Source organism: Homo sapiens, chromosome 5, assembly GCF_000001405.40.
Source record: "Homo sapiens chromosome 5, GRCh38.p14 Primary Assembly".
NCBI lineage: Eukaryota > Metazoa > Chordata > Mammalia > Primates > Hominidae > Homo > Homo sapiens.
Genome location: NC_000005.10, coordinates 140,282,130 through 140,297,239, shown reverse-complemented (window position 1 = coordinate 140,297,239; position 15,110 = coordinate 140,282,130). Strand labels below are relative to the sequence as shown.

General features: G+C 36.6%; 1 protein-coding gene across 2 annotated transcripts in view; it reads left to right on the top strand.

Annotated features, from left to right (window-relative positions):
- Positions 1 to 15,110, top strand: part of PFDN1 (prefoldin subunit 1) — a 58,067-nt gene that overhangs the window by 5,862 nt on the left and 37,095 nt on the right. The gene's annotated exons all lie outside the window — the stretch shown is intronic.

Below are 15,110 nucleotides of genomic sequence, written 5' to 3'. Positions count from 1 at the left end.
GAATATTACTTTTTCCCAAATTTTCATTTTAAAACCGTAATAAAATGGTTATAATAAAATCCAAAACTTCATTTTTCTTTTAGAACATGCAGTAGATTTTCCCATTGCTGAAATTCAGGTCTCATTGCTTCTTGCCTGGACTTTTATGATAGCATCTTAACTGTTCTTTCTTCCTGCCTTCATTCTGTCTGTCCAAATCCATTCTTCACATATCTTTCAGAATTAATCACATCAATATTCTTCCTAAAGTCCTTTGTTCATCCTCTGTTGTCCACAGGATAAAATCTAAACTTGTTGGCCTTGCATTCATGGTTATTCATAATCTGTTCTTAATTTACCCTTTGCCTCAAGTCCCACCACTTTCTTTTTCCAGGGTTAGGATAGCATGTATATTTCATCTCATGGACCTACCTCCTTCTACTAGTTTGTGTTATATGTTGAGAAGAATTTTGAGATGTCAAATGGGTTTTAAACATGCTTTAATTGATTAGTGATGTCTGTTACACAGTGAGGGTAGAAGAGTAGTAGCACATGTACTAGAAATTGTTATCCTACCCTTGCCACATAGGTTTCCTCACACATGTTATGTTTTTGTGCTTTTTTGCTTTTGCTCAGTCTTTGGCGAATAACATTGTCCTTGGCTGGCAATATTCCTCTTTTCCTTGTGAAATTCTTATCCTTCAAGACATAGCTCTACTCTTACTTTGCCTCTGAAGATTTTTTCAGCCCCTGGGGCAGACTCATTCACTCTTTCCTTGGCGATAGTAGGGCTTTTGTTCCTACAGCTAGTAAAGCACATTGAGTGTGTAGGTGTGTTTAAATGGGTCGGTCTTCCCAGCCAGATTGTCAGCTCTGGGAGACCATGTATATATATTATCTTTGTTTCCTCATTCTCAGTATAATGTCTGGCACAAAATAGCTATTAAATGTGTATTGATTTGAATTGAATCTGATTCTTTTTTCTGGCCTAAAATAACTTTTTTCTTTTGGTTTCTTAGAAAAAAAAGTATTTTAGAAAGTGTTAGAGACTTAAGAATGAGTTTATTATCCTATTTTAATATATGATCCATGTAAGATGAAATTATAAAAGTAACATATATTTTGACTAAGGTCAAAAAAATTATATCTGACCAAAATCACGTCCTCTGATCTGACAGGATTAATTCTTCATTAAATATATTGAGAAGGTTGTCTAATTCTAAATACCAGCCAGTTGAAGAGACACTCAGAACTAAAAATATAGAAAACCCAAACCTTAAAGATTATGCTTGAGGGTAGTATAATCCTTAGAGAATAAAGGCTATTTTATGCATAATAATATCAATGTATTTTTATCCATTTTACCTTCCTCATCTTCACACAGAATGTAAGTCAGATTTTTTTTTTTTAGGGTATGTATTTAGTTAAACAAATCATTGCAGACCCAGATATCTTTCATTTCATAAGTATGGACACATTTTGTAGTGTTAAATACCTCTTATACATGGCTATTTTTGGTTTAAAACAAGGAAAGTCAAGCTACAGGATAAGAGATGATGAATTGCTATATACTGTAAGCTCTGAGTATTTGTTGCTCAAAGCTATATTCCATCCAGTCTTTTGGCGTGTTGCCAGCACATTTTAGTTCTCTTACTTCATCTTCTTTAGAGAGGCTGTTATGTAGCCTGATACTACTACCACCAATTTCTAGTTTTGCTACTTAAGCTGTTTGTGAGCTGACCTCACCATACTGCTTTGAGAACTATGATGAAAGTTACAACTGGGGAATGATCTGTCTGAGTATTTGGAAGTGTTTGTCTTTGCATCTTTCTAGCATGCAAGGAGGGAATAGACAAATCTTAAATGTTATGTGAATATTTCTTGTATATATTTTTTCATGGATAAAAATGTTTATAATTGCTTGTGGGGGTTTTCTTCCTTTTCTACTTTGCATAGTAGAGGATAGGAGTATTTTTAAAATAAGAATTATATTTGAAAGTGCATATAAATGACATTTAACCATACTAGTGTTTGAAAGGACCATCATTAGAATAAATGTCAAACTTACTTTTATGAACAATAAGTATGATCCTAACCCTGATTTGATGTCAGATCTATTATTTGAACACCCTTTTTGCTTGAGCATTACATAAATAACATTTCTTTTTTCCAAAAGAGACAAATTAACTTTTTTTTTAATATGAGGAACTTGAGTAGATTAGCCTTTAAAAAGAACAATTAGTGCCTTTTTAAAACTTGAACCTAACTAAAAATAACTTTGTACCATATTTAAACTAATTTAGAGGTATGCTACCATTCTGTGGGTATTTTTTACATTTAAGGAACTAAGAATGAACAATGGTATAAATCTGCCAACTAGATAAGTGTCTAGCAATGCAAAAATTGCTGTTTGGGAGCGGTGTTACTATTTCTACTTGTTGAAGTAATTTAATGGTTGATCTCTAACGGTTGAAAGATCCAGAAGTGTAAAACTTAAGATAAATGTGGCATAAGTAGAAAGTGAAACAGTAGGTGTATTCCTGATAGGTAACAATTAAAAAAAATCTAAATAGTTAAGCAGTTTTTCAACTGTTTAGGTTGTAGAAATCTGAACTCTTTATGACAGCTTGGCTGAACTGCCCTTTGTTTAGAATGTTATGTTGGTTTTGTTGTGATTGTATTTCTTAGTTTGGATGTTGACCTATAATTTGAATCGTGGCATTTAGTAAAGGTGGGATGAAATATATGCAGCTTCCCTTAGTTATGTTAAATGTTAATAGAAAGGGGTATGCTCATACTGCTTCAAGTTTTGCAGCCCTTTTACAATTTCATGTAGCTATAGAGTTGGTCTTCCAGTCAATTTCAGGTAATTTTAAAACTGAAGAAATGGTCATACTATATTTTATTGCTAAGAGATTAGGAAATGAAATTTAAAAAATCTTAGTATAGTAAATATTATTGATATTGTTGATAAATACTGTTGATATTACAGTGAAAATAGTTTATATTGTTGCTCTCAGCAGAATCAAATTTGGATATTTTATTTAGTGCATACTACAGGGGAAAAAATAATGTGTGAGATTACTTTTGGTGTGAGAGTCACATTGCAAATGCCAATTTATAAATTCATTTTATACCCTCTTTAAAGGTATTAATCTGTATTTTAGAGAAAGTGAAGCAAAGATAGTTGTCAAAAGTAAGATGAGATTACTTTTTAGATTTTACTTGAAGAAAGAGAAGTTCTTGGTGTTCAGCTGCTTTTACTAATAGAACATGACCCACCCTTCTTGTGTTTTTATACAGAGCCATTTAAAGTCATGGCTTTCATTGCCCAGAGTTCTAAGGGAAAACAACAACATCTTTTCCTGTTGTGCAGGGAAAAATGACTTAAGTTTTGTTGACGCTGAATATGTATATAACCCCAGATGGGCACACATTCCTCTTGCACAGATTTAGTACTCTGGGGAGAGGAGATTTTTAAGTCATATTCTTAATTTCCTTAAGTTGTCAGTGATTTAAAAACTTGATGTTCATTATAACTCTGCTCTACTGCTGTCTAGAATGACATCACTGTTTTTGTGCCAGAGGGAGTTAACAAACATTTGCGTAAGAATTACATAGTCCTGTTTCTTCTGCAGACGAGTACTTTTTAATAATTATTTCCCTGCTTCCCCTCCCATATGCCCCAGTCTAAAGATTCTCACCAAAACACAGGAAATTAATTTTGAAAATGTTATGCTAATTAGATGTCTATTGTTAAAAAAGGGAAAAGTCTGTTATCTTGGAGAGTACAAACATACTAAAATAAACTTGCTATGGGGTTACTTATTTTAGGCTTTGGACCTGTTTTAAAAACATAAATGTAATTGATTCATTTAGCTACTTGGTGGACTTTGCTTGCTTCTGCATTTCCTGACATCAAAAGACCTGGCCTTTTTTTTTTTTTTTAACTGACAAAGGATTAAACAAAATCAGCCTTTGTTGTATGAAAAGTAGCAGTCATTTGCGGGATACTACAGTGTTTTCCAGTCAATGATAAGCAACTGAGCGAAAGGTGAAAAGTACCATTTGCTTGCTGTTCCTATGTAAAAATATTAAGGTAGCAGCAGTCTTGAACTGTTAACTTTGTCACTGAGGAATTGTGTGCTGTAACTGACTTAATTAGCTGAATTTCTCTGAAAACAGTCAATTTTAAGCCATACCAAGAATTTTCTGATTTTAGCTGCCACTTATCTCATAGTGCAAAGTTAGGAATAACTTACTATCTAATCTGAGAGAGAGGACTGAAATGTTCATGTCAAGGAACATAATCTGCTTAATGAAATATCCAAGAAGGAGCTCAGAAAAATATTGACTTAGAAGGTGAGTCAGTTCATATATATGAACACGCACTTGGTAATGCCTTTTGTCATTCTTTTTTATTTATAATATCAGAAATTGCTGTTAACTGCAAATATACTTTACTCTGATGAAATACTTAGGATTACTAGTGTGTTACATGTACCATTAGTGCCCATGCTTTTGTGAAGAGTGTATCCTTATTTCATTTATATAATTTAAGTTCAAATGGACCTGTCTGGGAGAATGTTACTTCATTGTCCTGGCCAGGAACTCTTATTACCAACTCTTGTTTTGCAGTAGATCAGTTGTCTTGAAATGAACTACATTACTTGGAAGCTACTATGCTTTTCACTTTGAAGAGGACTTGAAGTATTCTGATACCAAAATTGGTACAGCAACAGGAGTCTAGTATCAAAAATGTATCTTTAAATAGATAAGAGCATGACTGCCCTAAGCCCAACCTTTACACTGGCTCAGAGTAAAAAGATTTGGATCACAATATGCATCCTGTATGTGTGTGTCTGACTGAGACTTTGGCATTTGTGCCAAAGTATATTTATATTTCTCTATGACATTCTGCTTTTGTACAAGGAGTACTCTGCTCTCTGTCTGTCTTCTAATACTCATTGGATAGTAATTTTAAAATATTTTATCTATTGCTATATTTTAACTTACTAGTAAAATAAAGATCATATCTTGGAAAAAGTTATGGAATAACTCACTGCCTATACGTGGAATGTTTGGGGTTTGATGAAGCCAGAGTAAAAGTGGTAAACATCAGAGGTGCTTACTTACCAGAATACTTAGAATACCAAATAGTAACCCGAAATAAACATCATGTTTAAAATAGATTAACATACTACTGCTTCCATTTCAGGAGTAATAGTTTTGATTTAAAAATAGGCAGTAATTTTTAATTAGTAAAAATTGAACATAGCAGTGTGTGTTACTCTACTAGAACAAGGAACGCTTGTATGGGATTGGGTTCTGGAAGGGACAGTGATTCTCCAGTAATTCCAGTGAGTTCTCAGTCCTCATCTTATTTGACCTATCAGTACCATTTGGTCCTGTTGACCTTTCTTCCTTGAAGCACGTTCTTACCTTGGCTTGCAGGACACCACTTCTTGATATTCCTCCCACCTCACTGTCCATTCCTTTTCAGCTTCCTTTACTGTCTTCATTTCTTTTGCATTTGTAAATATTAAATTTACTTTGTCCTTAGCCCTTGGATTTTTTTTTTCTTTTTTTTTGTCTATATGTACTCAGTCTCTTAATAATCTCATCCAGGAGTATCTCTAAATGCATTTTTATATACTGACAACTCCCAGATTTTTTATCTTTAACTTAGACCCCTTCTCTGAACTCCAGACTTGTATATTCAGCTGCCTACTTTACATCTTCATGTGATGGTCTAATAGGCATCTCAGAATTAGCTTGGCCAAGATAAAATTTTTGCTGTTTATAAACAAACCATCTCCTCTCTCAGTATTACTAAGTGGCTTTTCCACACTTCAAATTCTTCCAAATCTTGGAGTCACCCTTGGCCCCTCTCTTTCAATCTTATATTCAGCTCATTAGCAAATACTGTTGACTCTATCTTTAAATTTTGTTCAGAATCTGAAGACTTCTACTTACCACCACCCTGGTCTAATTTACCATTGGTTTATGGCAGTTGCTTCCTAACTAGGCTCCTTGCTTCTGTCCTTAACCCTTTATAGTCTGTTTTAAACTGATCAGCCAGAGTAATCCTTTGAAAATGTAAGTCAAGATCACTGTAGTCAAATGGCCTCCCATTTCATCAGTGAAAAAGACAAAGTCTTTTGCACTTGCCAGTTTCTCTGCCTGAAGCCTTCTTCCAGGTGTCTCCATGGCTTACCCTTTCTCTTCCTACAGGTTGTTTCTAAAGAGGCAATGAGGCCTTTCATGACCATCCTATTTAAAAGTATACACCTAACCAGCACCCACACTTATTTGCCCCTTGTTGGCTTTATTTTTCTTCATCGTACCTCACCATCTGGGGACAATGATACTAATTGTCTTTCATTTTTTCCCTTCTTCTACCCTCTATGGTATCAGATGTCTTTCTTAAAGAATCAGCATTATTGAGTTATAACTTATATAGAATAAAATGCATTCATTTTAGGAGTACAGTTGGGTGAATTTTGACAAATGTAACCACCACCCCAGTCACGATAAAGAACATTTTCATCACTCTAAAATAATTTCTTTCTTGCTTCTTTCAACTGAATCCTCTCCTTCCTTAATCCTGGCTCCAGGCTGCTGCTAATGTGATTTCTATGACCGTAAATTAATTTTTTCTGTTTTAGAACTTTATATAGATGCAATATATAAATGGAGTCATTATAGTATGTACTTTCACTGAGTGTAATGCTTCTGAGATTTACTCATGTCATATAGGTCAGGCCTCCTCAGGGGCCGTATGCTGGGCTTCATTTCGACTTATTTCGGTACGCTGGCCCTGCCCTTCTCCCTGTGTTTGCTAGCTTTGTCATCAGCTTGGCTACAGGAATTCCAGGGATTTTATTGAGGCATGACAACAACCAGAGTGAGAAAGTGCCATGTTTTCTGGTGTCACCTTCATGGGAGCACCTTTCCAGAAGTCTTCTAATGGTCTCCCACTTATATTTCATGACAGAAACTGAGTCACATGCTTAGGCTTAAATCTTGGGGGATGCAACTGCAATGATTGGGTAAGGCCAATCAAGATTCAGCCTAGAACTCAATTCTCTGATTTACTTGGGAAAATAGAGAGTACCGAAACAAAATTGGGGCTCAATCAACAAAGAAAAGGAAATGGATATGGGATAAACAATAATGTCTGCCAAAGTCATCAACAGTCATTATAGTGATCAATAACTGAGGGCTAGCTATATGAAAACCGTTGATATATTTAGGATGAATTAGGCAGAGTTTAGTCTGGGAGCATAGGCAGGCAGGAAGCTATTCAGGAGGTTAGTAATAAGAGCATAAATTAAGGTGGTGGAAGTGGAATAGTGAGGTGAAGGGTCAGTATGAGAGAAAGTGATAAATTAGAAATATAAGGAGGATATCTGCCGTTTTGGGACTTGCATGTGGTGATATTGATGGAAGCTGAAGTCGAGATGGTGAAACTACTTATAGGGAATGTTGGTATGGGTTGATAAAATGAGTTTAATTTGGGCCATGTTGAATTTGAGGTGATATGGAACATACAAGTAGAAGTGATCATAGATGCTGAACATGCATGGTGCAGGTGATAGTGGTTGATATTATTTTGAGGGTTATTAGCTAAGTTGAGGCCTTGAAAATAAATGAGTTCTCCTAGGGACTTTGGGTAGAGATTGTTTAGCAGAGAGCCTTGCATAGTGCTTGTAGTATGGGCACTGGAGAAGAAAGAGGAAGGAGGGATTTATGGATACAGTAGTTAATGAGGGAAACATGGATAGCATAGTACAGAGATGAAGCAGCAGCATCCCTCAGAGTTAGATTTGAGCATACAGTGATCTGTAGATTGCTTTTGTCTAGGTATGACAGGGTCTAGGTGCTGTATGTCTGTTATAATCTAGTACTACATTATTTATTTTGTTGCTCAAATAATTCTGCTTTGACCATTGGGAGCTCTTTGAGATTTACTCCTTTTTTTTTTTTTCCTTCTCCCAGTCTAGAAATGCAGTAGTGTGATTGTGGCTTACTGCACCCTTGACCTCCTGGGCTCAAGCAGTTCTCTACCTCAGCCTCCCAAATAGTTGGGATTACAGGCATGTGCCACCAAACCCAGCTAATTTAAAAATTTTTTTGTATAGATGGGAGTTTGTCATGTTGCCCATGCTGGTCTTGAACTCCTGGACTCAAGTGATCCCCTCACCTCAGCCTCCCAAAGTGCTGGGATTACAGGCGTGAGCCACTGTGCCTGGCAACTATTATTATTATTTTTTGAGACAGAGTCTCCCTCTGTCGCCTAGGCTGGAGTGCAGTGGTGTGATCTCGGCTCACTGCAAACTCCGCCTTCTGGGTTCAAGCAATTCTTTGCCTCAGCCTCCCGAGTACCTGGAACTACAGGTACCCGCCACCATGTCTGGCTCATTTTTTTTATTTTTAGTAGAGACGGAGTTTTGTCATGTTGTCCAGGCTGGTGTCGAACTACAGACCTCAGGTGATCTGCCCGCCTTGGCCTCCCCAAGTGCTGGGATTACAGGCATGAGCCACCGTGCACGGCCAGCAACTTTATTTTTTTATAGTAGTTTTAGTAGTACGGAAAAATTGAGCAGAAAGAACAGCAAGCTCTCACTCCCTTTCCACTCTCTCCCACACTGTTTCTTCTCTTATTAACATCTGGCATTAGTGTGGTACATTTGTTACAATTGATGAAAACATATTGATAAATTATTGTTAACTAAGATCCATAGTTTACATTAGGGGTCACTCTTTGTGTTATCATACAGTATAGTTTCACTGTCCCCCAAATTCCTTGTGCTCCACCTGTTCTTCTCTTCTTCCCCTTCCTTCCCCACTGTCTTCCCTGGTGACCACTGACCTTTTTACTGTTTCTATATATAGTTTTGCGTTTTCTGAAATCTCATATAGTTGGAATGATGCAATATATAGCCTTTCATACTATACTGGTTTCTTCGACTTAGCAATATGCATTTAAGGCTCCTCTGTGTCTTTGTGACTTGATACCTCATTTCGTTTTGTCGTCGAATAATATTCTATTGTATGGATGTACTGACAGTTTATCCATTCACTTATTGAAGAATATTTTGGTTGGTTCCAAGTTTTGGCGGTTACAAATGAAGCAGCTGTAAACATTTGCACATGTGCATGGAAGTTTTCAACTCATTTGGATAATGGACTGCATTTGATTGATCATCTGTTAAGCTTTGTAAGAAGCTGCCAAACTGTCTTCCAAAGTGGGCTGTACCATTTTTGCATTCCCACCATCAGTGGATGAGAGTTTCTGTTGCTTCACAGCTTCATCGGCATATGGTGTTCTCAGTGTTTGGGATTTTATCCATTATACTAGGTGTGTGGCAGTATCTCATAATTTTATTTTATAGTTCCCTAATAACATATGATGTTGAATATCTTTTCACTTGCTTATTTGCCATCTGTGTTATCTTTGGTGAGGTGTCTGTCAGATCTTTTGCCTGTTTTAAATATGGTCGTTTGTTTTCTTATTGTTGAATTTTAAGAGTTCTTTGCATAATTTAGATGCAAATCCTTTATCAGATATGTGTTTTGCAAATATTTTCTTCCATCTGTGGCTTGTCTTTTCTTTAGCTTTTTGTTTTTACTGTACTTCCTGACCTTCTCATACTGCAGTATGCTCCAGGTTCATCTTGTATTTTCCCTGCCGAGCCCTATAGTTAGTCATTTTTCCAAGAAGCTGTGGTTCCTGATTCCTTTTATTGGAGAGTGGTTATTTAGAAATCTATATCTGGTCACTGGGTTTATTTGTTACTACTGAGGTGTTACCGTTTCTAGGCCCTCTGGTGACTAGCAATAGATAATATGTGTATATATGCTACTAATTCATGTGTATGTACATATCTACAGTTGTTTCTGTGTCTGTTCATCACTGTACACATACTAAGCTGATTGTGAGTTTATACTGATATCTCCGACTCTTCGATACCACAGGGTTCATTTTAGCCTTCCTTTCTTGCGTATCTGTAACTTCTCTCTCATATGAGAAACCCGGCTCCTACCATCCAGTGTCCATTTACTTATTTATTTATCCCCATACACATATAAAGCAATTTCAGAATTGTTTGCCTGTATCTCCTGTGAGAAACAAATTTAACCAACTAGTTAATCCAAGGTTGATTGGATTATTTGTATACATATATTCACATACACACATATTTATAATAACTTACATTAGAGCCACTATAATATGGTACGAAAAAGACCGAGTGTTCTAATCTAATACATACAAGCTGGGCAAGGTATTTAACCTGACTAGGTCTTATTTTTGTACTTGGTAATTTTTTACATACTTAGAAAACTTTGGCCGGGCATGGTGGCTCACTCCTATATATAATCCCAGCTCTTTGGGAGGCTGAGGCGGTTGGATCCCCTGAGGTCAGGAGTTCGAGACTAGCCTGGACAACATGGTAAACTCCTATCACTACTAAAATACAAAAATTAACTGGGTGTGGTGGCAGGCACCCATAATCCTAGCTACTCCAGAGGCTGAGGCACGAGAATTGCTTGAACCCTGGAGGCGTAGTTTGCAGTGAGCTGAGGTGGCATCACTGTACTCCAGCCTGGGCAACAGAGCAAGACTGTCTCCCCCGCCCCCCCCCCCCCCCCCCCCCCCGCAAAAAAAATTGAGGATTCAAGAGGAAACATTTTTCGAGCAATGAATTTTAAAAAGCTCTCTCTTTCTTTTCCAGTCCCATTTCATCTTTGTGTAAATCCTTTTTTATTTTACATATTTTTTCATCTTGAAAATGGAATGACATGCTGATTTTTCTTTTTTCTTTTCTTTTTTTTTTTTTTTTTTGAGACAGAGTCTCACTCTGTCACCCAGGCTGGAGTGCAATGGTACGATCTTGGCTCACTGCAACCTCCGTCTCATGGGTTCAAGTGATTTTCCTGTCTCAGCCTCTCGAGTAGCTGGGATTACAGGCACCCGCCACCACACCGGCTAATTTTTTTGTATTTTTAGTAGAGATGGGGTTTCACCATGTTGGCCAGGCGGGTCTCTAACTCCTGAACTCAAGTGACCCACCCACCTCGGCCTCCTAAAGTGCAGGGATTGCAGGTGTGAACCACCACGCCTGGCTGACGTGCTAATTTTTTAAACTTGAGTTTTTACTTACTTACTAACTTACTATATTGACATCTTTACATGTCAATAAAAAAAATATTTTTTTTTAAATTTCGGTTTGGTTTTTTATTTAATTAGTCATTCTTTTTTAAAAAAATTTATTTATTTTTTAGACATGGGGCATTGCTATGTTGCCTGGGCTGGACTTGAACTCTTGGATTTAAGCAATCCTCACACCTCAGCTTTCTGAGTAGCTAGGACTACAGGTGCATGCCATTATGCCTGGCTGCCCCCTTGGTTTTATCTCCTGTTTTGTATCCTATTTCTGTGCCAGTGTGGATACTTAAGGTCTCCAGGATTCAGCATAAACTCTCAGGATGAAAGCCAATTTACTGCTGTCTTACATTCCTGAATTCCCAGTTTCACTTCACTTTGGACCTTTGTGGAATCCTTCCTTTTGTGTTAGTTCAACAAAATGTTAAAAAAAAATTTTTTTTTCCTTTGTTTCTAATCAGGAGTGTTCAGGGTATCTACTCTTCATTATGCCAATAACAGAAGTCTGTAACTCACTGAGCAGTCCACAATGTGGATGTGCCATAAAGTTTTAATCACTTCCTTACTAAGGAAGTGATTAAAGTAAGAAATAAATTCAATTTAAAAAAATTTTAAAAAAAGAAGTTCAATTTATTTCTACTTGCTTCCACGCTAAAAATTACGACGTAAAAATTCAGTAACTTTCCTCACCAGTGGAGTTAGGCAAAGAAGCAAGATAGGCTCATTCTTTTTTTTTTTTTTTTGAGATGGAGTCTCGCTCTGTTGCCCAGGCTGGAGTGCAGTGGCGCGATCTCGGCTCACTGCAAACTCCACCTCCCGGGTTCACGCCATTCTCCTGAAGATAGGCTCATTCTTATGTCTTTTCTATGCTGCTTAATTTGTGAATACCCTGAAACCTAAATGCTAATAGGATACGTTTTTAGACACCCTCTAAAAATTTCCCACCCAAAGTGAACTCGTCATAAGCATTTTGTTGTTTCTGAATAGCATATGTCTAGGTGACCATACTTTGGAAATTGTGTCCAAAATGCAGCAGTGCAAGTGATCTGGGATTGTGTTTTGGGCAGGTGAACAATGGTTTTGATTCATACTGAGTTATAAGAAAGTGGAAGTTGTACCAAACTGCAGGATGATTTAGAAAACGGAGTCTGATGTTTCTCAAATAATCAAAACCGAAAGTCTCAGAATTATGTTTTCAGATGGCATAATTACAAATAAATGAGGAAGTGAAATAGCAGGTTACAAGTCCTTGAGAGTGGACAGTGCAGAGGCACGTGGCACTGATTTCCAGGTCAAAGAAGAGGCCTTTTGCAAAGCATCAACTCGAATTCAGGTTATATAATCCTGAGTATTTTAAGCATGTTATCTGCATATTATTTGTCATGAGAGAATACTTTCCCTCTTCATGGTTTATTTTTCCTTATTGGTACATTTTGAACTCCAGAATTCTTTATTTACTATTTGGCTTTCCATAAACAATCAGGCAGAATGACTATGAGATTCTCTACATTGAGCAACTGTGTACATAATATTTGCTTATGATAAGACTTATATTATCATGATAAATCCTTTCTCTTCACATAGTATCTGATAATCCAATGCCCTTTTAAACAATAAGAAAGATGTTTTCCAAAGACTTTTTTTCAGAAATCAGATGTTTCTTGGAGCCTTTTCCAGTCTTCATACAATATATCTTTGCCATTTTTTAAATTGAGGACTAAACCAAACTTTCCATAAGTTTTTGTGTTTGAATTTTTACTGTGTAACTACTCTTTGAGGTAGACATTTGCATTTACCCAACATTCATCCTTGTTAAAACTTGCGTGGCTGAGATGTCCTTAGGTTTGTAGTAGTAAGTTGGCCAGCTTCGGTGGAATCTCTCTGGCCTTTGAAGTTGGCACAGTCCAGTATAGCTACCTCAAAGGATATGTGGTCATGGAAAAACGTGTTTTTGTTGTTGAGTGTTCTTGCTTTCTAGTAATTTTATTTTCTGCTCAAGAGATTTAGTATCTGTTCAGATACTTTATTTTTAAAGGCCACATAAGTAATGACTTGACCTCTAATCTTAGCTTTGAAATTTTCCCAGACACTAATAAAGATGATGTCTGATGACCTTTTATTTGAGAATAGTACTCATTGGCCAGCTATCAGTGCTACTTAAAAATGTATATTTTACTCAAAAAATTATTTCCATGGCTAAAAGACTTTCTCAGTAAAATCACACATGTCATGACATAATTTGGTGACTCTTGCACCTTGTTTTAGAATAGTTTTTACATAACATTACTGAGACTTAGTACTGTTCAAAACAACTCTTCTCTTCAAATACAAATATGAGTTAGTTCTGAGAAAAATATTCTGTAAACCATAATCTTATCTGAAATAGCACCCATCTCTTGGATCCAGTAAGAATATTTTAGACATGAAGGGTTCTATAGTAAAAGACCTGGAATTAATCCTTGTTTTGCATGAATGTGGGCTCTCTTTCCTGTAAATATACAGTAAGGTTTTACAAAGAATCAAGTTACTACTGAAGACTAAGATCATCAGTTGGGCTGGGCTGGGCGTGGTGGCTCATGCCTGTAATCCCAGCACTTTGGGAGGCCGAGGCGGGCAGATCACGAGGTCAGGAAATCGAGACCATCCTGGCTAACATGGTGAAACCCTGTCTCTACTAAAAAATAGAAAAAATTAGCCAGGCGTGGTGGTGGGCGCCTGTAGTCCCAGCTACTCGGGAGGCTGAGGCAGGAGAATGGCATGAACCCGGGAGGTGGAGCTTGCAGTGAGCCAAGATCATGCCACTGCACTCCAGCCTGGGCAACAGAGCGAGACTCCGTCTCAAAAAAAAAAATTATCTGGGCTGGCCGCATTAGGATATAAGCTTAATAATTAGTGGAGTAAAAGAAGTTCTTCAGATTTTATTAATATGTGTGGTAAGGCTTAGTTATGAAGAAGAGGGGACAAGGCAGTTTCCTTCCAGGTGTTGGGGCATAGCTAATTGCCCTTTTTGGTCTGTTTTTACTTGTCTTATATCTATAATAACGGACTCTCTTGATAAGAACCCACCTAGGCACAATGATGTTTTTGTGGGGTTGGCAGAGGAAACTGCATGTTGCTACCTTGATGTGTTTTCTCGTTTGACTTTTTGTTAAGAGATGATGTTTAGTTCTTTGTTGCTGAACTCTGTTAGTGCAAAGAGAAGAAAAATCTTGCTTAATTAATTGCAATATTAAATTGAAATATATTTTAGCTTCCTTAGACAGTCCTGAAAGAGATTTGCATAACTGGGGTCTTCCCTTGGTTCCAGTGGAGGGGAAATATTTCAGTTCACTTACTTGGGGCTATAAAAGTTTGTTCTTCCTTTCCCTGAAGCAAGAATTGTGAACATAAAGTCATAAAACAGTTTCAGTGTTAATTTTTAAAACTTCTCCATATTTCCACCCTCATCAGTGGTAAATAATGTGCCTGATGTAAAATGGAAAAAGTTGAAAATTTCCACTTGTACATTTTGAGCTTTTCAGAGGTACTATATACACTCTGGAAATAATAATAAAAGATACTAAGGCTTATACAGTGCTTTTTGTTTGAGGAACTCATATAAACACTAATGCATTGATCCTAACACAGTGCTTGATTGTGACTTTAAAAGGTCATGAGTTACTGCTGTTACAAAAAAAAAAAAAAAATGGAGGGGCGCTCCACTTTACAAATATAGTTTAAAAAATATCTAGATAAAAATTGAAACAGATAACTGAAAAAACAAAACTTATAGGGTATTTGTTTGTATGTTGACTTTTCTCTTAGCGTATGATATATTTTTATTCCTTTATTATTTTTTCTTTTACATATGAATCTACTTGAAGCCTGATTTTCTTTTCTTTTTTTTTTTTTTTTTAATGTTTTTAAGACAGGATCTTGCTCTGTTACCCAAGCTGGAGTGCAGTAGCACAATCATGGCTCA